Source organism: Homo sapiens, chromosome 6 (genome assembly GCF_000001405.40).
Source record: "Homo sapiens chromosome 6, GRCh38.p14 Primary Assembly".
Classification (NCBI taxonomy): Eukaryota; Metazoa; Chordata; class Mammalia; order Primates; family Hominidae; genus Homo; species Homo sapiens.
In genome coordinates, this window is record NC_000006.12 from 29055163 (window position 1) to 29081134 (window position 25972).

General features: G+C 35.7%; 1 long non-coding RNA gene and 2 pseudogenes across 1 annotated transcript in view; 1 reads left to right on the forward strand and 2 right to left on the reverse strand.

Annotated features, from left to right (window-relative positions):
- Window positions 1-21578, forward strand: part of OR2W1-AS1 (OR2W1 antisense RNA 1) — a 40720-nt gene extending 19142 nt beyond the window's left edge. Inside the window, exons 2-4 of the long non-coding RNA NR_125387.1 lie at window positions 8768-8967; window positions 9959-10010; window positions 21134-21578. This is a non-coding gene — a long non-coding RNA (OR2W1 antisense RNA 1). The remainder of the gene's footprint in view (window positions 1-8767; window positions 8968-9958; window positions 10011-21133) is intronic.
- OR2P1P (olfactory receptor family 2 subfamily P member 1 pseudogene) lies at window positions 16670-17404 on the reverse strand (annotated as a pseudogene).
- SAR1AP1 (secretion associated Ras related GTPase 1A pseudogene 1) lies at window positions 19245-22079 on the reverse strand (annotated as a pseudogene).

The window sequence follows — 25972 nt, forward strand, 5'->3', positions numbered from 1 at the left end:
ATGCTGCATATTAAATCCCCAGAACTTGTTCGCCTTATAACTGAAAGCTTGTACCTTCTGACCAACATCTCCCTATTTTCCCCTCCCCCAGCTTTTGGAAACCACCATTCTAATTCTATTCTCTGTTTCTGTGAATTCAGCTTTTTAAGATTTCATGTATAAGTGAGTTCATATCGTATTTGTCTTTCTCTGATTCATGTATTTTACTAAGCATAATGCCAACAAGGTTGATCCATGTTGTTGCAAGTGGCAGAATTTCCTTCTTTTTGATGGATGCTTGGTTTGTTTCCAAGTGTTGGCTAATGTGAATGATGCTACATTGAACACAAGAGTGCATATATCTCTTTGACATACTATTTTCGTTTCCTTTGGGTATATACCCAGCAGTGGGATTGCTGGATAAGATGGTAGCTCTAGTTTTGATTTTTGAGGAACCTCCATACTGTTTTCTAAAATGGCTGTTCCAATTTACATTCCCACCAGTAGTGCATAAGGATTCCCTTTCTTTCTGAATCCTTGCCAATACTTGTTATCTCGTCTCGATAATAGCCATCCTAACATGTTGGCTGATCTCATTGGGGTTTTAATTTTCATTTCTCTCATGAATAGTGCTGTTGAGCATTATCATTATTTCACGTATCTGTTGGCCATATGTATGTCTTCTATTGAGAAATGTCAGCTCAGGTCCTTTGGCCGTTTAAAAATCAATTTATTGTATTATTTTTGCTATGGAGTTGTTTGAATTCCTTGTATTTTTTGGATATTAACTCCTTATCAGATTTGTGAGTTACGTAAGATAATGGTTCAATTTTATTATTTTGCATATAGATACTAAGTTTTCCCAGCACCATTTATTGAATCAAGTATCCTTTCTCCTGTATATTCTTGACACATTTGTCAAATATTAGTTAGTTGACCATATATGTGAGGATTTATTTTTGGGGACTTGATTCTGTTCCATTGGTTTGTGTGTCTGCTTTTATGCCAGTATCATACAGTTTTGATTCTTATGGTTCTGTAATATGGTTTCAAGTCAGGAAATGTGATGCCTCAGCTTTTCTGTTGTTGTTGTTCAAGTTGTTTTGGCTATTTATGTTTTTTTGTGGTTCCATACATATTTTAGAATTTTTCCTCCAATGCTGTGAAAAATATCATTAGAGTTTTGATAAGAATTGCATTGAATCTGTCAATTACTTTGGGTATTATGGACATTTTAGTAGTATTAATTCTTCTATTCCATGAGCATGAAATATTTTAAACATTTATTTGTATTTTCTTCAATTTATTTCATCAATATTTTATAGTTTTAAGTGTAAAGATTAATCACTTCCAGGGTTAAATTTATTTCTAAATATTTTATTCATTTTGATGATACTGTAAATGGCATTTGTTTTTCCAGATAATTCAGTGTTACTGTACAGAAACACAATTATTTTATGGCACATGTATACATATGTAACTAACCTGCACAATGTGCACATGTACCCTAAAACTTAAAGTATAATAAAAAAAAAAGAAACAATTATTTTTTCCATTGACAAATAAAAATTGTATTTCTTTACAGTATACAATCATGGTGTTTTGATATATGAATACATTGTGGAATGGCTAAGTTAAGCTATTTAACATATTTATTACCTCCTTTTTTGTGATGAGAATATTTAAAATATAATATTTTGGCAATTTTTAAGAATACAATATATTGTTATTAAGTATGGCCATCATGATGTACAATAGATCACTTGAATTTATTCCTCCTAACTGAAATTTTGTATCCTTTCACTAAGATCTGTCTGTATTCCCCACCCCCCAGCCTCTGGTAAGCACCATCTTACTCCGTTTCTGTCAGTTTAACTGTTTTAGATTCCATTTGTTTCTCTGTGTCTCACTTATTTCACTTAATGTCCTCCAGGAAATACATGTTATAATTAATGGCAAGCTTTCTTTCTTTTTTAAAATTACTGAATAGTATTCTATAGTGTATATAAACCACATCTTCTTTATCCATTTTTTGTTGATGGACACTTAGGTTGATTTTTGCTATTGTGTATATTTTTGCTATTGTGTATATTTTTGCTATTGTGTATAATGCTGCAATGAACATGGGAGTGAGATATCTTTTCAAATAAGGCTTTCTTTGGGTATATATCCAGAACTGGGATTCCTGGATCATATGATATTTCTATTTTTAATTTTTTGAGGAACCCCCTTACTATTTTCCATAAAGGCTATACTAATTTATATTTCCACCAATAGAGTGCAAGGGTTTTCTTTCTCTGCATCCTCTCCAACATTATCTTTTATTTTTTTTGATAATAGCCATTCTAACATGTGTGAGGTGATCTCACTGTGGTTTTAATTTGCATTTTTCTAATGATTGGTGATGTTGAGCATTTTTTATATACCTGGCCATGTCTTTGAGAAATGTCTATTCAATCATTTGTCCAATTTTTCATTGGGCTGTTAGTTTTCTTACTACTGAGTTGTTTGAGTTCCTTATTTATTTTGCATATTAAACACATCAGATGTATGGTTTGCAAATATTTTCTACTAATATTTCTTTGGGTTGTCTATTCACTCTGTTGATTGTTTCCTTTTCTGTGCAGAAGCTTTTTAGTTTGATGTAATTCTATTTGTCTATCTTTATTTTTGTTGCGTGTGCTTTGAGGATCACCTAAAAAAACCATTGCTCAGGCCAATGTCATGGAGGTTTTCCCCTATGTTTTCTTCTTGTAGTTTTAAAGTTTATGGCATTATGTCTAACCTTTTAGTTAATTTTGAGTTGAGTTTCGTAGGTGGTGTGAGATGAGGGTCTAATTTCATTCTTCTGCAGGTGGACATCCAGTTTTCCAAACACCATTCATTAAAGAGACTGTTCTTTTCTCATTATGTGTTTTTGGCACTTTTGTTGAAAATCAGTTGGCTGTAAATACTTGGATTTATTTCTAGGTTCCTTATTCTATTGTATTGGTCTATGTGTCTCTTTTTATGCCAGTACCATACTGTTTTTATTACCATAGCTTTGTAGTATATTTTCAAATTAAGTACTATAATGCCTTCAGCTTTGTTCTTCTTGCTCAAGATTGCTTTGTCTGTTTAGAGTCTTTTGTGATTCCACATAAATTTTAAGATTGTTTCTCTATTTCTACGAAAAATGTCATTGGAATTTTGATAAGAACTGTATTGAATTTATTGATTATTTTGGGTAGTATGAACATTTTAGCAGTTTTAGTTCTTCCAATCCATGAACAAGGAATTTTTTCATTTATCGTCTTCAATTTCTTTTACCAATGCCTTACAGATTTCACTATACATATCTTTCACCTCTTTGGTTTAATTTATGCCTGAGCATTTTCATGTTTTGAAAATAGGATTGTTTTATTGATTCTTTTAAAAATAGTTTGTTGTTAGTGTAACACTACTTTTTTAAAAAAATATAAATTAAGTTCTAGGATACACGTGCAGAACATGCAGGTTTGTTACACAGGTATAAATGTGCCTTGGTGGTTTGTTGCACTGATCAACCCATCATCTACATTAGGTGTCTCTCCTAATGCTAGCCCTCTCCTAGCCTCCCACCCACTGACAAGCCCCAGTGTGTGATGTTCTCCTCCCTGTGTCCATGTGTTCTCATTATTCAACTCCAACTTATAAGTGAGAACATGCGGTGTTTGATTTTCCGTTCCTGCGTTAGTTTGCTGAGAATGATGGTTTCCAGCTTCATCCATGTCCCTGCAAAGGACATGAACTCATCATTTTTTATGGGTGCATAGTATTCCATGGTGCTTATGTACCACATTTTCTTTATCCAGTTTATCATTGTTGGGCATTTGGGTTGGTTCCAAGTCTTTGCTATTGTGAACAGTGCTGCAATAGACAAACGTGTGCATGTGTCTTTATAGTAGCATGATTTATAATCCTTTGGGTATATACCCAGTAATGGGATAGCATGATTTATAATCCTTTAGGTATATACCCAGTAATGGGATTGCTGGGTCAAATGGTATTTCTGGTTCTAGATCCTTGAGGAATCGCCACACTGTCTTCTACAATGGTTGAACTAATTTACACTCCCACCAACATCGTAAAAGTGTTCCTATTTCTCCACATCTTCTCCAGCATCTGTTGTTTCCTGACTTTTTAATGATCACCATTCTAACTGGTGTGAGATGGTATCTCATTATGGTTTTGATTTGCATTTCTCTAATGACCAGTGATAATGAACTTTTTTTCATATGTTTGTTGGGCACATAAATGTCTTCTTTTGAGAAGTGTCTGTTTATATCCTTTGCCCACTTTTTGATAGGGTTGTTTGATTTTTTTCTTGTAAATTTAAGATACTTGTAGATTCTGGATATTAGCCCTTTGTCAGATGGATAGATTGCAAAAATTTTCTCCCATTCTTTAGGTTGCTTGTTCATTCTGATGATAGTTTCTTTTGCTATGCAGATGTTCTTTAGTTTAATTAGATCCCATTTGTTGATTTTGGCTTTTGTTGCCTTTGCTTTTGGTGTTTTACACATGAAGTCTTTGCCCATGCCTATGTCCTGAATGGTATTTCCCAGTTTTCTTGTAGGATTTTTATGGTTTTAGGTCTTACATTTAAGTCTTTAATCCATCTTGAGATAATTTTTGTATAAGGCGTAAGGAAGGGTCCAGTTTCTGTTTTCTGCATATGGCTAGCCAGTTTTCCCAACACCATTTATTGAATAGGGAATCCTTTCCCCATTGCTTGTTTTTGTGAGGTTTGTCAAAATCAGATGGTTGCAGATGTGTGGTGTTATTTCTGAGGCCTCTCTTCTGTTCCATTGCTCTATATATTTGTTTTGGTACCAGTACCATGCTGTTTTGGTTACTGTAGCCTTGTAGTATAGTTTGAAGTCAGATAGCGTGATGCCTCCAGCTTTGTTCTTTTTGCTTAGAATTGTGTTGGCTATACAGGCTCTTTTTTGGTGCCATGTGAAATTTAAAGTAGTTTTTCTAATTCTGCGAAGAAAGTTAATGGTAGCTTGATTGGGATAGCATTGAATCTATAAATTCCTTTGGGCAGTATGGCCATTTTCACGATATTGATTCTTCCTATCCATGAACATGGAATGTTTTTCCATTTGTTTGTGTCTTCTCTCATTTCCTTGAGCAGTGGTTTGTAGTTCTCCTTGAAGAGGTCCTTCACATCCCTTGTAAATTGTACTCCTAGGTATTTTATTCTCTTTGTAGCAATTGTGAATGAGAGTTCACTCATGATTTGGCTATTTGTTTGTCTATTACTGGTGTATAAGAATGCTTGTGATTTTTGCATGTTGATTTTGTATCCTGAGAGTTTGCTGAAGTTGCTTATCAGCTTAAGGAGATTTTGGGCTGAGACGATGGGGTTTTCTAAATATGTAATCATGTCACCTGCAAACAGAGACAATTTGACATCCTTTCTTCCTATCTGAATACCCCTTATTTCTTTCTCTTGCTTGATTGTCCTGGCCAGAACTTCCAATACTATGTTGAGTAGGCGTGGTGAGAAAGGGCATCTTTGTCTTGTGCTGGTTTTCCAAGAAAATGCTTCCAGCTCTTGCCTATTCAGAATGATACTGGCTGTGGGTTTGTCATAAACAGCTCTTATTATTTTGAAATATGTTCCATCAATACCTAGTTTATTGAGTGTTTGTAGCATGAAGGGGTGTTCAATTTTATTGAAGGCCTTTTCTGCATTTATTGAGATAATCATGTGGTTTTTGTCGTTGGTTCTGTTTATCTGATGGATTACGTTTATTGATTTGTGTATGTTGAACCAGCCTTACATCCCAGGGATGAAGCTGACTAGCTCATGGTGAATAAGCTTTTTGATGTGCTGTTGAATTGTTTGCTAGTATTTTATTGAAGATTTTCACATCAATGTCCATCAGGGATATTGGCCTGAAATTTTCTTTTTTGTTGTTGTTGTGTCTCTGCCCTGTTTTGGTATCAAGATGATGCTGACTTCATAAAATGAGTTAGGGAGGAGTCCCTCTTTTTCTATAGTTTGGAATAGTTTCAGAAGGAATGATACCAGGTCATCTTAGTACCTCTGGTAGAATTTGGCTGTGAATCTGTGTGGTCCTGGAATTTTTTTGGTTGGTAAGCTGCTAATTATTGCCTCAATTTCAGAGCCTGTTATTGGTCTATTCAGAGATTCAACTTCTTCCTGGTTTAGTCTTGGGAGGGTGTATGTGTCCAGAAGTTTATCAATTTCTTCTAGATTTTCTGGTTTATTTGCGTAGTGGTGTTTATAATATTCTCTGATGGTAGTTTGTATTTCTGTGAGATCAGTGGTGATATCTCTTTATCGTTTTTTGTTGTGTCTGATTCTTCTCTCTTTTCTCCCTTTTCATAAAGCATTTCATGGATTCATTGACTTTTTGAAGGGTTTTTTGTGTCTGTATCTCCTTCAATTTTGCTCTGATTTTAGTTATTTCTTGTCTTCTGCTAGCTTTTGAATTTGTTTGCTCTTGCTTCTCTAGTTCTTCTAATTGTGATGTTAAGGTGTCAGTTTTAGATCTTTTCCTCTTTCTGATGTTGGCATTCAGTGCTATAAATTTTCCTCTAAACACTGCTCTAGCTGTGTCCCAGAGATTCTAGTACATTGTGTCTTTGTTCTCATTGGTTTCAAAGAACTTCTTTATTTCTGCCTTAATTTTGTTATTTACCCAGTAGTCATTCAGGAGCAGGTTGTTCAGTTTCCATGTAGTTGTGTAGTTTTGAGTGAGTTTCTTAATCTTGAGTTCTAATTTGATTGCACTGTGGTCTGAGAGACTGTTTTGTATGATTTCTCTTTTGCATTTGCTGAGGAGTGTCTTACTCCCAATTATGTGGCCAATTTTAGATTAAGTGTAATGTGGTTCTGAGAAGAATGCATATTCTGCTGATTAGGGGTGAAGAGTTCTGTAGATGTCTATTAGGTCTGCTTGGTCCAGAGCTGAGTTCAAGTTCTGAATATCCTTATTAATTTTCTGTCTCACTGATCTGTCTAATATTGACAGTGGGGTGTTAAAGTCTCCCACTATTATTGTGCAGGAGTCTGAGTCTCTTTGTAGGTCTCTAAGAACTTGCTTTATGAAACTGGGTGCACTTGTATTGGGTGCGTATATATTTAGGATAGTTAGCTCTTCTCGTTGCACTGATCCCTTTACCGTTATGTAATTCCCTTCTTTGTCTTTTTTGATTTAAAGTCTGTTTTATCAGAGACTAGGATTGCTACTGCTGCTTTTTTTTTTTTTTGGCTTTCCATTTGCTTGGTAAATATTCCTCCATCCCTTTATTTTGAGCCTGTGTGTGTCTTTGCACATGAGATGGGTCTCCTGAATACAGCACACTGATGGGTCTTGACTCTTTATCCAATTTATCAGTATGTGTCTTTTAATTGGAGCATTTAGCCCATTTATATTTAAGGTTAATATTGTTATGTGTGAATTTGATCATGTCATTATGATGCTAGCTGGTTATTTTGCCTGTTAGTTGATGCAGTTTCTTCATAATGTCAATAGTCTTTACAATACTGCAAAAACAGTACTGATTTTTTTATGTTGATTTATATCCTGAACTAGTTCATTAGTTTTAACAGTTTTTGGTGTAATATTTGGGGTTTCTATATATAACAATAGGTAATCAGTATACAAAGACCATTTCTTTCCTTCCTCCCTCCCTCCCTTTCTCTCTCTCTTTCTTTCTCTCTCTCTTTTGTTCATTCCGATTTGTATGCTTTTAATTTCTTTCTCTTGCCTAATTGCCATGGCTATAACTTCCAGTACTAGGTTGAATAGAAGTGGTGAGAGTGGGCATCTTTGCTTTGTTTCTGATCTGAGAGGGAAAACTTTCAAATTGATGGTCTCAGCTGTGGGGTTGTCATACATGGTCTTTATTGTGTTGTCATACATTCCTTATAACCAATTTGTTGAGACATTTCTTATGAAGAAATGTTGAATGTTTTTCAAATTCTTTTCCAATCTCAAAGTACCAGAATTCTTCCTGAGGTGTTTTTTTTTTTTTTTTTGGCAGGGTCTTGCTCTGTCACCCAGACTAGAGTGCAGTGGTGTGATCATGGCTCACTGCAGACTTGACCTTCTGGTCTCCGGGAATCCTGCCTCAGCCCCCTGAATAGCTGGAACTATGGAACTATGAGCATGCACCACCACACTTGGCTAATTTTTAAATTTCTGTAGGATAGGTGTCTCACTACATAGCCCAAGTTGGTCTTGAACTTCTGGGCTGAAGCAATTCTCCTGCCTTGGCTTCCCAAAGTGCTGGGATTAGAGGTATAAGCCACCATGCCTGGTCCTTTCATGAGTTTTTATGCTTGCAATTCAGATTAATAAGTGAATGACAGTGAGAATTCAATTCTCCAATGCCTACTCTCATAATCTAAAGAAAGCAAGGCAGAAGTGTTTTCCTGAAAGGAAGAATCTTTGTTTTTAGTTTTTTAAAGATTAGGTTTACTGGATGTCAGAAAAATATGTTTACATTAAGGCAACATTGAGTATTGATGATGGTATGTAAGTTCTTAGCTGTCAAGCCTCTTAAACAGTGTTCTCTGAATTTTACATATGTGAAAAGACATTAATCCTCTTAGACTTTGGGGTTGTTGTGTGAGGCCTAGGAGGAGCACACTAGCAGTGGCCAGTCTTCTTTAATCAAGAACAGCCTTATACATTCCATGTTATGTGTGCTATGATGTGAAAATATTTGGAAAACTCTCTCTTCCCCCATTGCTGCCAGACTTATGGTCTTTCTTTGTTCCCAGGTGGCTGATTTAGGTTCCAGGCAGAATGGAATTGGGTGCCCTGGAAGCCTGAGGTAGATTTGGTACTATGGAGGGTGCACTTGCTGATATGAAGTTTTATTTTATACAAATCCTGGAGAAGCTAAGTGAGGCCATGTCAGTGTTGCCAGAAGACATGAGAATCATGCCAGATCTCTGTGGCTTAACATTGGAACATAGTGGTAAGTGCAGCTATATTTGTGTTTCTTAATAGTTGAAAGCCAGGTTTATATAAATAGGAAGAAAGAGTTTGCCATAGAATTTATGCTTTAGTTGGAGAAAAATGTAAAGTTGTTGATAAATTAGGCTGATTAAAAAATAATGTGAACACTTAAATTACCTTTAATGGAGTGCAGCCTTGAGAAGAAGATACCACGTGGTCCAAGTCTATATCAAATTTGAGTTTAAAATAGATACTTTCAGAAAAGAATCAAAAGGAAGAAAGTCTTAATGTTCACATTGAGTTAAGGTGATGGCTAGCTTTGGAACTGGAGTTCAGCCAGTAGAAGATGTGTTCAGGTCCTTTTAATCCCAAAAGGTGGATGCGAAATAACCATAAATATATGTCAGAAGAGTAAAAAAAGCCAGCAAGTTAAGATAGCAACAAAATATGGCTAAAATGAGCATTGCAATGTCCAGGAAAGCATAAACTACACGCAAAAAAGCTCAAGAATGGGATGACCAACTGAGCAAACAGTGAACTGAAAAGATATGTAAATTATTGTAACAAGTGCTAAATTATAAGTAAGGTCAGAGCAAATATTGAAACACTTGATGAATATTTTCTACTGCACTTGGAGAAGTTAAATTGATGTCAGGGACTCAGGGACTTAGAATTGGGGAGAATGAAGCAATCAGAAAGTAAGTACCAGTCAATCATCAGTCAAAAGGGGCTTTGAGGAAATTGATTTATGCTTCTGTAAAGACTTTTGATGGAGGAAGAAACAAAATATAAATTAAATTATTTGAACACATTATTAAAGGCTTTATTTGTTTTTAACTGATATACGTAATTGTTTAAGATGATGTAAAAATTTTCCAAGTTCGTTTACAATTTAAAGAGTTTGTATTGTTTAGAAGTCTGTAAAGGATGTGAGAGAAACACTGGGTAATTCTTCTTCATGTATTTTTATTTTCTTTTTTATGTAAACAACATAAATTTATTGCTTACAGTTCTGGAGGCTGGGAAGTTCAAGATCAAGGTACCAGCAAATTTCATTACCTGGTAAGCATTCATTTCTTATGGATGGTGCCTTCTGTGTGTCCGGTGTAAAGGGCAAAACAGGCTCCCTTTCCTCAAGCCTCTTGTCATTAAAGCCTGTAAAAATTACAGTAAAAGTATTCAGAATGGGTTAAGCAATTTGACCGTCAGGAAATTCAATTGAAAAGTGAGGTTCAAAACCTTCCTCAGAAAGTTAAAGTTCTAAATTGTATTGAGAAAATACAATAAAGATTCACAGAATATTTATATTAGAATGAATTAATTAAATACAGAACATTTTAAAGGCAACTAAAAAGATCAGCCATGCTCATTAAGTAACAGATACCTACAGAAAATGTCTGTCTTTGTCTTGCATTTAAAAATTGATATATCATAGTTATACATAGGCCAAACTTCTTTTTTTATTTATTATACTTTAAGTTTTAGAGTACATGTGCACAACGTGCAGGTCTGTTACATATGTATACATGTGCCATGTTGGTGTGCTGCACCCAGTAACTCGTCATTTAACATTAGATATAACTCCTAACGCTATCCCTCCCCCCTCCCCCCACCCCACAACAGGCCCTGGCACGTGATGTTCCCCTTCCTGTGACCATGTGTTCTCATTGTTCAATTCCCACCTATGAGTGAGAACATGCGGTGTTTGGTTTTTTGTCCTTGTGATAGTTTGCTGAGAATGATGGTTTCCAGCTTCATCCATGTCCCTACAAAGGAAATGAACTCATCATTTTTTATGGCTGCATAGTATTCCATGGTGTATATGTGCCATATTTTCTTAATCCAGTCTATCATTGTTGGACATTTGGGTTGGTTCCAAGTCTTTGCTATTGTGAATAGTACTGCAATAAACATGCATGTGCATGTGTCTTTACAGCAGCATGATTTATAATCCTTTGGGTATATACTCAGTAATGGGATAGCTGGGTCAAATGGTATTTCTAGTTCTAGATGCCTGAGGAATCGCCACACCAACTTCCACAATGGTTGAACTAGTTTACAGTCCCACCAACAGTGTAAAAGTGTTCCTATTTCTCCACATCCTCTCCAGCACCTGTTGTTTCCTGACTTTTTTTTTTTTTTTTTTTTTTTTTTTTTTTGAGACGGAGTCTCGCTCTGTCGCCCAGGCTGGAGTGCAGTGGCGCGATCTCGGCTCACTGCAAGCTCCGCCTCCCGGGTTCATGCCATTCTCCTGCCTCAGCCTCCCGAGTAGCTGGGACTACAGGCGCCCGCTACCACGCCCGGCTAATTTTTTGTATTTTTAGTAGAGACGGGGTCTCGATCTCCTGACCTCGTGATCCGCCCGCCTCGGCCTCCCAAAGTGCTGGGATTACAGGCGTGAGCCACCGCGCCCGGCCTGTTTCCTGACTTTTTAATGATCGTCATTCTAACTGGTGTGAAATGGTATCTCACTGTGGTTTTGATTTGCGTTTCTCTGATGGCCAGTGATGATGAGCATTTTTTCATGTGTCTTTTGGCTGCATAAATGTCTTGTTTTGAGAAGTGTCTGTTCATGTCCTTCACCCACTTTTTGATGGGGTTGTTTGTTTTTTTCTTGTAAATTTGTTTGAGTTCATTTTAGATTCTGGATATTAGCCCTTTGTCAGATGAGTAGGTTGCAAAAATTTTCTCCCATTCTGTAGGTTGCCTATTGACTCTGATGGTAGTTTCTTTTGCTGTGCAGAAGCTCTTTAGTTTAATTAGATCCCATTTGTCAATTTTGGCTTTTGTTGCCATTGCTTTTGGTGTTTTAGACATGAAGTCCTTGCCCATGCCTATGTCCTGAATGGTATTGCCTAGGTTTTGTTCTAGGGTTTTTCTGGTTTTAGGTCTAACATTGAAGTCTTTAATCCATCTTGAATTAATTTTTGTATAAGGTGTAAGGAAGGGATCCAGTTTCAGCTTTCTCCATATGGCTAGCCAGTTTTCCCAGCACCATTTATTAAATAGGGAATCCTTTCCCCATTGCTTATTTTTGTCAGATTTGTCAAAGATTAGATAGCTGTAGATATGTGGCGTTATTTCTGAGGGCTCTGTTCTGTTCCATTGGTCTATATCTCTGTTTTGGTACCAGTACCATGCTGTTTTGGTTACTGTAGCCTTGTAGTATAGTTTGAAGTCAGGTAGTGTGATGCCTCCAGCTTTGTTCTTTTGGCTTAGGATTGACTTGGCAATGTGGGCTCTTTTTTGGTTCCATATGAACTTTAAAGTACTTTTTTCCAATTCTGTGAAGAAAGTCATTGGTAGCTTGATGGGGATGGCGCTGAATCTATAAATTACCTTTGGCAGTATGGCCATTTTCACAATATTGATTCTCCCTACACATGAGCATGGAATGTTCTTCCATTTGTATCCTCTTTTATTTCATTGAGCAGTGGTCTGTAGTTCTCCTTGAAGAGGTCCTTCACATCCCTTGTAAGTTGGATTCCTAGGTATTTTATTCTCTTTGAAGCAATTGTGAATGGGAGTTCACTCATGATTTGGCTCTCTGTTTGTCTGTTATTGGTGTATAAGAATACTTGTGATTTTTGCACATTGATTTTGTATCCTGAGACTTTGCTGAAGTTGCTTATCAGCTTAAGGAGATTTTGGGCTGAGACGATGGGGTTTTCTAGATATACAATCATGTCATCTGCAAGCAGGGGCACTTTGACTTCCTCTTTTTCTAATTGAATACCCTTTATTTCTTTCTCCTGCCTGATTGCCCTGGCCAGAACTTCCAACACTATGTTGAATAGGAGTGGTGAGAGAGGGCATCCCTGTCTTGTGTACATAGGCCAAAATTCTTAAAGAAAAATTGGAAAAAATTACTTGTTCCTATCAAAGACTCACTATTTCCCATATTTAAAAAGCTTATAGTTATTGACTTATAGTTCAGTTGAACCTCAATGAGGTTCAATGAGTTAGGAAAATCCATATGAAAGACCAGAGATCAGCTAATTTTCCCCACAAGAGCCAGATGGAAAATAGTTCAGGTTTTGCAGGCCAGGAAGCAAAATTTAAATATTATGAAATAATTAAATATTAAATATTATGAAAATAAGTAAATAAAATTTAAATATTATGAAACTATAAATATTAAATATTAGGCAACAAGACAGAAAAATTCCCACATAATGTTCTATTGGCTAAAAAAAAAAAACCCTGACAATAGTGAATGCTAGAAAAAAAATGCAGAACAAGGGGAACTCTTATTTATTACTGATGAGAATGCAAAATGTTAAAATCACTTTGAGGAACCACTTGGCAGTTTCTTATAAAGCTTAAAATAAACTCAACATATGACCCAACCCCATCATTCTTCATAGAACTAGAAAAAACAATCCTAAAATTCATGTGGAACCAAAAAAGAGCCCACATAGCCAAAGCAAGACTAAGCAAAAAGAACAAATCTGGAGGCATCACATTACCTGATTTGAAACTATACTATAAGGCCATAGTCACCAAAACAGCATGGTATGGGTATAAAAGTAGGCACATAGACCCATGGAACAGAAGAGAGAACCAAGAAATAAAACCAAATACTTATAACCAACTGATCTTTGACAAAGCAAACAGAAACATAAAGTGGGGAGAGGACATGCTATTCAACAGATGTTGCTGGGATAATTGGCAAGCCATATGTAGGATAATGAACCAGGATCCTCATCTCTCACCTTATACAAAAATCAACTCAAGATGGATCAAAGCTGAGTGCGGTGGCTCACGCCTGTAATCCCAGCACTTTGGGAAGCCGAGGCAGGTGGATCACGAGGTCAGGAGATCAAGACCATTCTGGCTAACATGGTGAAACCCCGTCTCTACTAAAAATACAAAAAATTAGCTGGGCATGGCAGCGGGCGCCTGTAGTCCCAGCTACTCGGGAGGCTGAGGCAGGAGAATGGCGTGAACCCAGGCAGCAGAGCTTGCAGTGAGCTGGTATTGAGCCACTGCACTCTAGCCTGGGGGACAGAGCAAGACTCTGTCTAAAAAAAAAAAAAAAAAGATGGATCAAAGACTTAAATCTAAGACCTAAGACCTGAAACTATAAAAATTCTAGAAGATAACATTGAAAAAAACCTTCTAGACATTGGCTCAGGCAAAGATTTCTGACCAAGAACCCAAAAGCAAATGCAACAAAATCCAAGATAAATAGGTGGGGTTTAATGAAACTAAAGAGCTTTGGCACAGCAAAAGAACAGTCAGCAGAGTAGATTACTCACAAAGTGGGAGAAAATTTTTCACAATCTATACAATCTGTACATCTGACAAAGGACTAATAATCCAGTATTTACAAGGAACTCAGACAAATTAGCAAGAAAAAATCAAACAATCCCATCAATAAGTGGGCTAAGGACATGAATAGACAATTCTCAAAAGAAGATATACAAATGGCCAGCAAACATATGAATAAATGCTCAACATCACTAATGATCAGAGAAATGCAAATCAAAACTGCCATGAGATACCAACCTTACTCCTGCAAGAATGACCATTATAAAAAATTTTTAAAAAATATATATTGGCATGGATGTGGTGAAAGGGAACACTTCTACACTGCCGATGGGAATGTAAACTAGTACAACCACTATGGAAAACAGTGTTGAGATTCCTTAAAGAACTAAAAGTGGAACTACCATTTGATCCAGCAATCCCCTTACTGGGTATCTACTCAGAGGAAAAGAAGTCATTATACGAAAAATATACTTGCACATGCATGTTTATAGCAGCACAATTTGCAATTGCAAAAATGTGGAACCAGTCCAAATGCCCATCAATCAACGAATAGATAAAGAAACTGTGGTATATATATATATATATATATATACACACAATGGAATACTACTCAGCCATAAAAAGGAATGAATTAATGGCATTCACAACAACCTAGATGGGATTGGAGACTATTATTCTAAATGAAGTAACTCAGGAATGGAAAACCAAATATTGTATGTTCTTGCTCATAAGAGGGAGCGAAGCAATGAGGATGCAAAGGCATAAGAATGATACAATGGACTTTGGGGACTGGGTGGGGGAAAGGGTAGGAGGGGAGGGAGGGATAAAAGACTACAAATTGAGTTCAGTGTATACTGCTCAGGTGGTGGGTGCACCAAAATCTCACAAATCACCACTAAAGAACTTATGTAACCAAATACCACCTGTTACCTAAAAACCTATGGAGATAAAAAATTTAAAAAAACATTCAGCTACAAACCTCTTTTGCTACACTCATTGTTTAGTATATGACACATTTTTGCATGATTCTGTTATATAGGTTTTAATAGTAGGTAATTAGGACAGTGGGTAATACTTATCATTCATTCATTTATTTAAAAAATACTTATTTAGAGCCCATTCTCTCAATACAGGTCAGTACTATGAAGGAGAGGTACACAGTGAAATCAGGCCTAGTCCTTACAGACATGTTGGTATGCCAGGGAGTCAACTTTCCTCCAAAAGAGTGATGTTTCCTTGTCTCCAACAATGGCAAAACTATAATATATAATATTTCTTTATCAGCGGTTTGCACATTGTGTGTTAATAGATTTTGTTCTTGTCATTCAGAAGAGCACAGTGGAAATACATGAAGGATGGGCAGATGTGTGAAGGCCTCAAATGAATGTATGTAGTTGTTAGAAAAACAAATGTTTTTCTTAAACACAAGTTGAAAGACAGGGGAGCAGAGGAAGTATAAGAAAAATTATGGATTTATAATGAGGAGAGTTGATGTTATGGATAAAGTCAACAGAACACTGCCTTCTTACATCATTATCCAACTTTCTACTTTGTCACCTCTATCTCAAAATTGACGGTCTGATAGCTAGTTTATTTTATATTTGCCCCAGGTTGTGCTCTACCTTCTTTTTCCATTTTCCTTCTGCTGAATATTCTGATTTTAAATGATGAGACGATTTAATCCTTCGGTTACCTACCAAATACATCTAATTTTCTCATTCTAGGTAGGTTGTCTTCCCATTGAAGGGTGAGTGGCTCTCAATATTAAGAGACAACATAGAAATTTCTGAAGATTTTAACTTCTCCATCTGATAACCTAGAAATAATTACTTCAGTCAAATACCTCAGAAGGAAGAAATCCCATTAAGATCGATAGGAAAGAGTCAGATATTATTTTTGAATTATTTTATTTGTAAAGGATCAGTGAATTTGTGGTTGAGAGGGTCAGTTATGGAATATGAGATATTAACCTATTTGATCTTGCTGGCAATCCATAAAAAGTTAATTTGCAAATAAAAGATTAGCCTTTAAATCACATTCATAATAACAAGAAGGTAAACTGCAGTCTATATTACTCATATATATTTTTCAAAGTAACACATAAAATGATAGGACTTGATTTTTGCTCTGAGTAAATGAGTCAGTCTATTAACATTTATTTATTGCCCACTTTTTAGATGCCTATGGATATTTCTAGATAAATACAAAGGAATATAAGGACATAGTTCTCACTACCATGCAAATTGCAGACAATCTGAGGATTAGGATTCACACTTGAAATGATATCCAACAAACCCCATTGTGTGGTACAAAAGCATATATGTAGACAGGGTGGGTAGTAAAGAATGCTAACAATTTTGGAGGAGGTTAAATCAACATGTAATTTTAGAACAGGAGATCTTCTGACCTGTATATGAAGAATGTGGAGTATAAAAATAATTACTTTTGTTCTCTTCCTGGTGATACAAAAAGACAAGAAGCCTCCTCATTGCCCCTTTTATGTCCCTGTTGCTCAAAGTGTAGATAAAAGGGTTAAGCATAGGAGTCACCAAACTGTAGAACAGGGACATGAATTTGTTTTTGTCCTGGGAGTTGGCAGAGGGCTGTACATACATGCTAATTACAGGCCCATAGAGGAGAGATACAATATGAGAACCACATGTGTTGAAGACCTCCTTCTTTCCCCCTGAGGACTGAATCCTCAGCACAGTAGCTACAATGAATCCACAGTAAGCAAAGATAATTGATTAGAGAACGAGGGACTAAAATATCCTCACAATGGAGAGCATAGATACATTGAATGTGGTGTCAAAACGTGATATCTTGATCATCGCTGAGACCTCACACAGAAAGTCGTCCACCTTGTTACCGCCTAGTGGCAGCTGGACGGCAAGGGATGACTGAAGTAGAGTTGGCCAAACTGCTTAGCCATGCCATGGCCACTAGGAGGACACAGAGTTGCTGATGCATGATAGCTGGGTACCTCAAGTGTTTGCAGATGGCAATGTAAGGATCCAAAGACGTCACAGCTAAAATGATGCATTTGGTGCTCCCCTAAAATATCCCCTGGGTACCACAATAATTGAGATGTTGTCCACCAGTATGCAGAGATAAGCAACAAGCCCCATTATGAAGAGAAACATTTCCGGCTAGGGGTGGTCAAAGAAACCCCAGAGAATGAAGATCTTTCGAGCAATTGCATTGCCCAGATTCCTGTCATTGCTCTTGTTGGTGGATTTGAGGGAAAGGAAAGGCTACTTTAGTATTGAATTTTTCTGATACTCCACTTATTCAGTTAAGTAAAATAAACTGAGTTATGAAGGGGTTTTCTCTGTGATGTAACTAAACTGATGTGATTTGACACTTGTAAGCATGAAAAATTTTATCTAAAGGCCAAAATGTTACCTTTCTAGTGCCTCTAAAAGGAAGATCAACAAATCTCTGTATCTTACCCAAGAAATGCAATATAGCAAACTTTTACAGAATAATGATTAAGTAATGGGAAACATAATTAATCTTATATTAGAAAAATGAATCAGATGGAGAAATGAATAATTTTAAAGAATGCCCAAGAACTACCCATGCTAACTAACACGTGTTAATTTCTTTCATCCAAAATCTGTTGGCCCTGGTCATGTTCTGGTTCAATTTGTGAGTTGATGTAGGTGAGTTCAGAACTCACTGAGCTCCACGTGGATCAGTCTGATTTGCATAGAAACAACATAGTGCTATTCCTTACCTCTTCTTCCCAAATCCTGGAATGACGATCGCCAACATAAAACTTTTGTCATAAAAGGAAGCACACAGCTGAAAGGAAATGGTTCCTTGCAACACGTTCAGTACTTACAAGACAAGATAATTCATTGCACAGCCAAGTGATATAAGGTCATTAAAGTATCAGCAGTTATACAGTATGATGTATGTTAGTGCTTTTCACACTGTGAGTTGTAATCTATTACGCAGTTATATACTATTTTATTGATTTATTTTACTTATTCTCATCACTCATTTTATATATGTGTTTGTATGACCTGGATTCTGATGTACAATATATTCCTTACTATAGGTAATGGTAAAAAATTTGGACAATACTGGCATAGTAGAAAAGAAACAAGAATGATATTAGAAAATCTAGATTTAGTCCACTTCCCAATTACTAATACATGTACATTTTAGGTCTTGCTTAAATATTCAGAAACTTCTTTATCTATCTTGCTCCGTTGTGGAGATTAATTAGCACCATATGTGTGAACACGCTTTATTAAGTCCAATACTCAATGTTGGGTTGGTTATTTTTCATGAAATAAAGTTCCCTGTTTGATTTTAAGTCTATATCTGATAGTTAATTTTTCTTTGTATCCAAATATTAACCATGTCCTTATATTCCCATAAGAAGTCTTAGAAGGGTTGTTTTTTCTACCATTTTATTTCCCTACATTACTCAGATCCCTTGCCTTGAATCTGATGTTAATGATTTCTAGATTTTAATATCAGTACACATATGTTTTTAATCAGTGGAAATGCTCACAAATGCAAACAGTACCATAGATTATTTTTCAAAAACATGTTTCAATGTTTTAAATTATAATGATTAGTATTAGTATTAATAGGTGTCAATTTATTTATACTTTTTTTAACTGCTCCTTGCCTAGCAGGGCTATCCTATAGGCAGTGTGCCCACAGTAGCCTTTTTTAAAATAGTTTTTTTAGTATGCAAATTTTCATAAGGAGATCACAACATGCATGTGGTTGTATAAAAAGATTAAATCAATCAAGCTAAATAGATCATTTCTACTCATATGCAACAGTTGCCTAAATCAGTGTTGATATTTTTTAGGGGTACCCTCTTTTCTTGCAAAAAAGAACATTAATCTTTTTCTTCCATCAGAATTCAGTGTTAATTGGGGATAAAGATTGAATGTTCTTTCTGTATTCAGTGGTTTTATGTCATATCAGAGGTCTTTAATAGTTATTTATTTGATTGAAAGGATCCCAAATCTTTTGATTTATTGTTTATTTATTTATTTATGCTTTAACTTTTAATTAAAATGCTTAGGATACAGATTGACTTTCTTTTGTAAATGACTGTTTTACTTTTTCTGAAATAGGACATACATGCACTCTGATAAAACAGAATGAAACATCTTAATTCATGAGAATTCCTGTACAAGGCGCTGATCCTGTGTTTAGAGCTGAGCTCCTCACAGCAGCTGCCCTACGTAGAACCGACAGTTTTCTAGCTTGCAACAAAGTTACTAGGGACAAATAGGGAAAAAAAATCCGAAACTAAAAGTAAGAAAACCAACATGGAAGCAATCATACTTCTCATGTCTCTGATAAGAGAAGTATGGGGAACCTTTAACCAAAGGAAAATTTAAAAAAAATGCAAGTTAACTATCTAGTTCATTCACTGTTAGCTAGATTTGTTCAGTTAAGGCTTTAACCCCTTTCCAAACAATTTTATCTTAATCCAGCTATGCTTGCTAATAAATGAAATGCATGCACTTCCCGGAAATATACTTCACTGAGCCTCTGCATTCAGTACCTGGCAGTGAAAAAGTATGTTTCCCGAACAAGTCAGTACTGAAGACTGAGAACTCCAACTAAATAACTATACTCTCTCCCCAATAATATGTTATCCACATTTTCCCTACCCTCACATTAGAATAAAGATATCCTCCTAACTTTTCATCTCCTATCTCCTGTCTTTTCCTAGGAGATCTTATCTTTTGATCTTTTACTACAAGGGTAGAATTTAGGTTAAGATCATAAAAAACCAATTTCACATGTGACACTAAGAAAATGGAATGCTATAAAATCAATCCTCATCACCGTGGTAGGGATGCTGTTGCTTTTATCCTGAGTCTTTACTGCCAATAAGTGATGCTGCTTCCAAAGGAACAGCTCTACAGAAAGTTTTTGAGTTAGTGTTTCCCCCCAGCTTATTTCTACAATGGGGAAAGGCAATTTCATATTAAAAAAATCCACACAAACACACCTGGAAAAGCTACAGATGTTAACCTTTACTTTAAACACAGCAACGTAGATATCTAAGGAGATAAGATGTAAGACAAAGAGCTCAGGAAAAATCCAATAGAGACCAAATTCTGCAAATGGAAATTTTAAAGCCCAGTGAGTAAATTTTTCCTGCATTCAGACAAGTGCTACAATACATTTAAGTCCTCAACTCCCAGAATTAAGAGCCCTTAAGCTGTTAACTTTGTCCTGTCTTCCTATTCAGAAAAATTTTCCTCTAGAATCTGTGCAAAAGTAACTGACACACCTGCAGTATGTGACAACATAAGAGATGTTCTCAACTTTTTCATGAGGTGAAAGTTACTTTTTATAACTGAAAATGAAAAAGGAAGGTGCTATAGAGGGAAATAAAATTTCACCAAAGTATAAAAGTAAAGACTGGATGAAACCTATAACTTTATAAATAAGAATAATAACAGTAACTTACACTATAATTAACTGCTCAATAGTGAATGATCTGCTACACATTCCTTGAGAAGGAATGACCCTAGCTTACCACAGTGGAAACCTGCCGCAATTACAAGGCCAGGATTCTGCCCCTTTTCTGGTTCTCTGTTCACAAGGTAATGCCACCTTCTCCAAGGCAGTTAGAGAGACAGGTGAGCTCAGGGGAGCTTCTCTCACCAACCTGCTAACTCAGCAGGAGTGAGTTTACCCAAATGAGCTCTGGCCTCCAATGTGTATCTGTTCATAATTTTATGAAGTATCTAAATGTCATTCATTAGTTTAAAAAAGAATAGAAAACTCTGGACTAAGTAAATTTTGAACTCGAAAAGTTAGAAGGGGTATCAATTATATTAACAACACTTTCTTTAAAAATAGAATCACTTTCTTTTGAAATCAACCAGAGTGGTGAGATGTGTTTTTCTTTTCAGGTGCCCCATAATGGCACACAGCTTTACTCAGCAACCCCTGCCAGCTTCCAAGCCCCAGGATACTGACCTGCACCAGCACATGGGGCAGCATTACCTCCCCAACAGTGTGGAGAAGAGAACATTTCACCACTGGGTGATGAGAGTAGACAGTGACTCTTGGCTTCTCAATGCTAGACATGATTGGAGACCTTTCATTGTTCTATTAGAAAAGTCCATGAAGAAGCTGTGAACAGGATCAGTCCAGAGGAGAAAAACTCTTATTTTCTCTGTCCAAACATCAGTCAATACATTGGGAGAGCCAGCAGAATCCCTCGCCCTAGCCTTGCCTCTTGAGCACACTGCACATGAACACTTCAGTGGGGTGAGCGTTCAGCTCCTAAAGGGCCATGTTCCTCTTTCCTGTGGTCTGTCCAGAAAGCCCAAATATCTCAAAGAGTTTTTCTTCACTTATTGCATTGTTCTGTCTATTTTGTTACCCAATATAAGGATTGGCACATTGGATATTATTTCATCAGTCATTAAAGCATTAAGCTCAACTTTAGATTCCATGAGGCCAGAATGATCTGCAGAATCCACCAGAAAAACAATCTCATTAATTGCTTGGAGATAATTTTTTCAAACCTGACATGCTTGCTTGTGTCCACCAAGATCAAGAGTTGTAAAAGTCATTCCAGCAATTAATAGCTTTTCTGATGTCGGATGTAGTGTTGGAACATGTTGACCCAATCTGTCATCTTTGAGCATGTGAAGAAGAGTGGTTTTGCCTGCGTTGTCCAAACCGAAAAATACAAGTTTTCCAAATTTCTTGTAGAGTCCTAGGAACTGGAGCACACTGCTGAAGCCATTGTAGATCCACTCAAAGAGGAAAGACATTATTCATGCTTATTATGGCCTGAAGGGCTCCTCCAGCAAAGGTGGGTGGCCCAGGCCCTCCCTCAGAGCACACCCCAAATATTTTCAAATATGAAAACCTACTTACTCTTTAGAGGTAAGGAAGGTACTTTAAAAAATTTATTTTATTTTATTTAAGTTCTGGGATACATGTGTGGGATGTGCAGGTTTGTTACATAAGTAAACGTGTGCCATGGTGGTTTGCTGCATCTATCAACCCATCACGTATGTATTAAGCCCAGCATGCATTAGCTATTTTTCCTGATGTTCTCCCTCCCCTCTCCACCCCCAGACAGGCCCCACTGTGTGTTGTTCTCCTCCCTGTATCCATGTTTTCTCATTGCTCAGCTCATCATTCCATGAGTGAAAACATGCAGGGTTTGGTTTTCTGCATAATGGTTCCTGCATAATGGCTTCCAGCTCCATCCATGTCCCTGCAAAGGACACGATCTTGTTCTAAAGGTACTTTAAAAAAAGTACTTTATAGGGTTGCCACTCACTCTATAAAGCTGTGAAACTTTGTTCTCTGTACAGATAATAGAGTTGAAATTTCTTGGTAAGGGTCATTATAGCAATTCCTTAGTGGGTATGCTTCCCTCTAACTTCCTTGCCATAATAAAATGAAATGATAAATTTTGGCACCTGTTATTTATAATGGACTCAGGTCTGAGAGAAGCCAAGGAAACTGAATCTGCCTTAACAATTTTATAAAAATTTCCTTGGATCACAAGGAGGAAATTAAGATTATTATTTTAGGTGCCAAGATCTAATTTTCTTTTATTTATAGTTTTTCTCAAGATATTATTTCTTTAGATTTCTGCTACCATAGAGCCATCATAATCCTAGTTCCACATACAGACAAAAGAAGTCTTCAATAATTTCTTCCACAATAACCCAACACAGTATAGACTTTTTACCTTCCATTGACTACATTAAAGTTCCTCATTTTATTTAAACCATAAAAACATTGTGTCAAGAAGATATTAACATACATTAATGTTATTAAAACATGATTAAAAATCATGGAATCTGGAATTTTGAAAATATGGGTCCTGAAAACTTTTGGCCATGGGCTTGTTTTTAAAGTAATTGCTTTTTTCACCCATGGTTCACAATTAGCAGCAGATCTAGCAATCTGGAATCCTTCTAGCCAAGTTCACACTGATCATCTCAGGCTTGTTCTTTGCTCCCACTTTTGTTTTCATCATTTGCTGCATTCTATAACTATATTCAGCTTCTGGTCCTTTATTTTTTAAAACAATATTTAATTGACAATAAAGATTGTATATATTCAAGGTGTGCAGTGTGATGATTTGATATACGTATACCCTTTGTTTTTATTTCTTTTCTGTCTGAATCCACTCCCACCCAATTCATTATTGACATTAATGAATACATTTGACTTATTCTCGGTAACCCTCAGCTTTATGTAGGGATACAGTATATATATATATATTTTTTTTCCCTATTATAGCTTTAATTTTAAAACATGATCCTTTCTGATGGTATTAGTTTCCTTACATCATCCTGCTGGTGTGGAAGTGAAAAGTGAATGATAAATTCTTACTACACAGTTAATCTAGTTAATGAAACTATCATTCTCAGCAAACTAACCCAAGAACAGAAAACCAAACACTGCATGTTCTCACTCATAAGTGGGAGTTAAACAATGAGAACACATGGAACAGGGAGAGGAACATCCCACACTGGGGCCTGTCAGGGATGGAGGACTGGGGGAGGGATAGCATTAGGAGAAATACCTAATGTAGATGACAGGTTGGTGGGTGCAGCAAACCACCATGGCACATGTATACCTATGTAACAAACCTTCACATCCTGCACATGTACCCCAGAAAAACTGTAATAATAAAAAAAGGTAAAATAGCGATATAAAATAGAAATTTATGAGTATATACTGATAAAAATATAAAAAATGAATACATGAAGGGGGAAAAGGGAAAACTCTTAATGGCACATCAGTTAATAAATATAGAGGGCATACTAGGATTGGAGAATTATTAATAGATGTTAAAATTAGTGGGTGAAAGTTTAAGACATTTACATAGTTATGCTGTCTGCCACAAATTACTTATTAATTTCTCAGGAAAAAGGCATAATGAGATCTGGGGGACACCATGTTAGTCAAGTGACTAAAGTTAACAGCATCGATTTTAAGACAAACTATCCTTATACACTTTTCTGAAATGTTGCATCATTATTGGCTCCTGAATGGGAGAAAATATAAAGAACATTTTGGAGATAATTAACAAGATCTGAATATGAACTATTGATTACATAATAGTATTATATGACTGTAAAATGTCCCAGTTTTTATGATTGTACTGGCTATGTATGGAAGTTAATGTCCTTAGCAACTATACACTAAAGTGTATGTAGTAATAAAAAGGTTGGGAAAAATTTCATAGATATGAAAACTACATTTATATATTACATATGTGTAAAAGTAAGGCAAATGTAAATGAATGATGACTCTGGAAAAGGGTATTTAAAGTTCTGTATTATACTTGCAACTTTAAAAATTACATTAAAAATACATTATAAATGTAAAATGTAGTAAACTACATTAAATAAAAAGATGACAATAAAAAGAACACTTGTGGTTATGATACTTCCTGCCAGATCAAGGCCTTAGCATCTACTGTTTTGTCTACTCTGAAGAATTTACTACCTCACTTATAGATCTGAGCCTAAATGACACTTCCCTAGAAGAGCTTTCCTTGAACCTTTCCTGGTTTAAACTAATCACCCATCCATTTTATTCATGAAGCCTTGTCATTTTTACTTTATAGTACTTAGTACAACTTGTAATTACATGTTTAGTATTATTATTTGTTTTCTTTCTCCCACTAGACTATAAAGTTTGTGAGGGAAGGAATTGTGTCTGTCTTATTCACTAACAAATACTCGGCAAATAGCAAAATCTGTATGTATAGTAAGCGATTGAAAAACATTAGGCAAATTTATAACTATTTTAATATCTGTATATACTATATATCTATATATAATATCTTTGCTCTGGATGTGCACTTAGGAAGGCAGAGAAAATTTAAGTGTCTCTGATTTAGGTGGTATGTGATAATAATGTAGATACAAGTAATATAAAAATATTTTAGAACATTGATGGTGATTCAAATTTTAGAGCTCAACCCATCTTATTTTTGTTATTTAAGTTACTAATGCCCCCCAAAGTATAAATATTTATAAAATTATTTTTAAGAAGACTTTGGGAAATTATTAATGGTAAGCTTGAAGGTTGGAGTAGATATTTCTAAAATTAGTTGCCAAATTTATAAATACATTAATAAAAATTTCACTATCAATAATTTTTATTTCAAATAAAATTCAACTTTAGGTTATTATGGCTTTAAGATAGTGTCTAATGGGAAGCAAATAAACATTAATGCAAGACTTTTCAAGGTGAAATAGACTTAGAGCACCAGTTTTATGATGTTTAGACTTTTTCCTAATACTTAAGAAATTGTATGATGAAATCAGAAAATACAGAAAAATAAGAAGCCTGGAATAAAAATTTCCTGATATCCTGTCACTTACCTCACCACAGTTAGCTTGGTGAACTTATTTCTAGTGTTTTCTTACACATATAGGTATACATAAAATTAGGGTCATGTTCTAAGTGTAGAATCGTTTCTTGAGTTTTCTCCACCACTTAACAGTGAGTATTTCTCCATAATATTATTTTTTTTAAAAAAAATGGCCAATTAACATATGCTGGTAAACAAGTCCATCATAAAGGCTTAAACCAACAAATATTTCATTTTTGCTTATGTTTTGTGTTTATTGAATGTTGCTAGGGACTTGTCCATGTCATTGTGCATTAGGGATCCAAACTGATGAAGTAGACACTATCCAAAGTTCTCTAGATTGTTGTGATAGAGGGAAATAAAAGTTGCAAAACACACTCTGCCC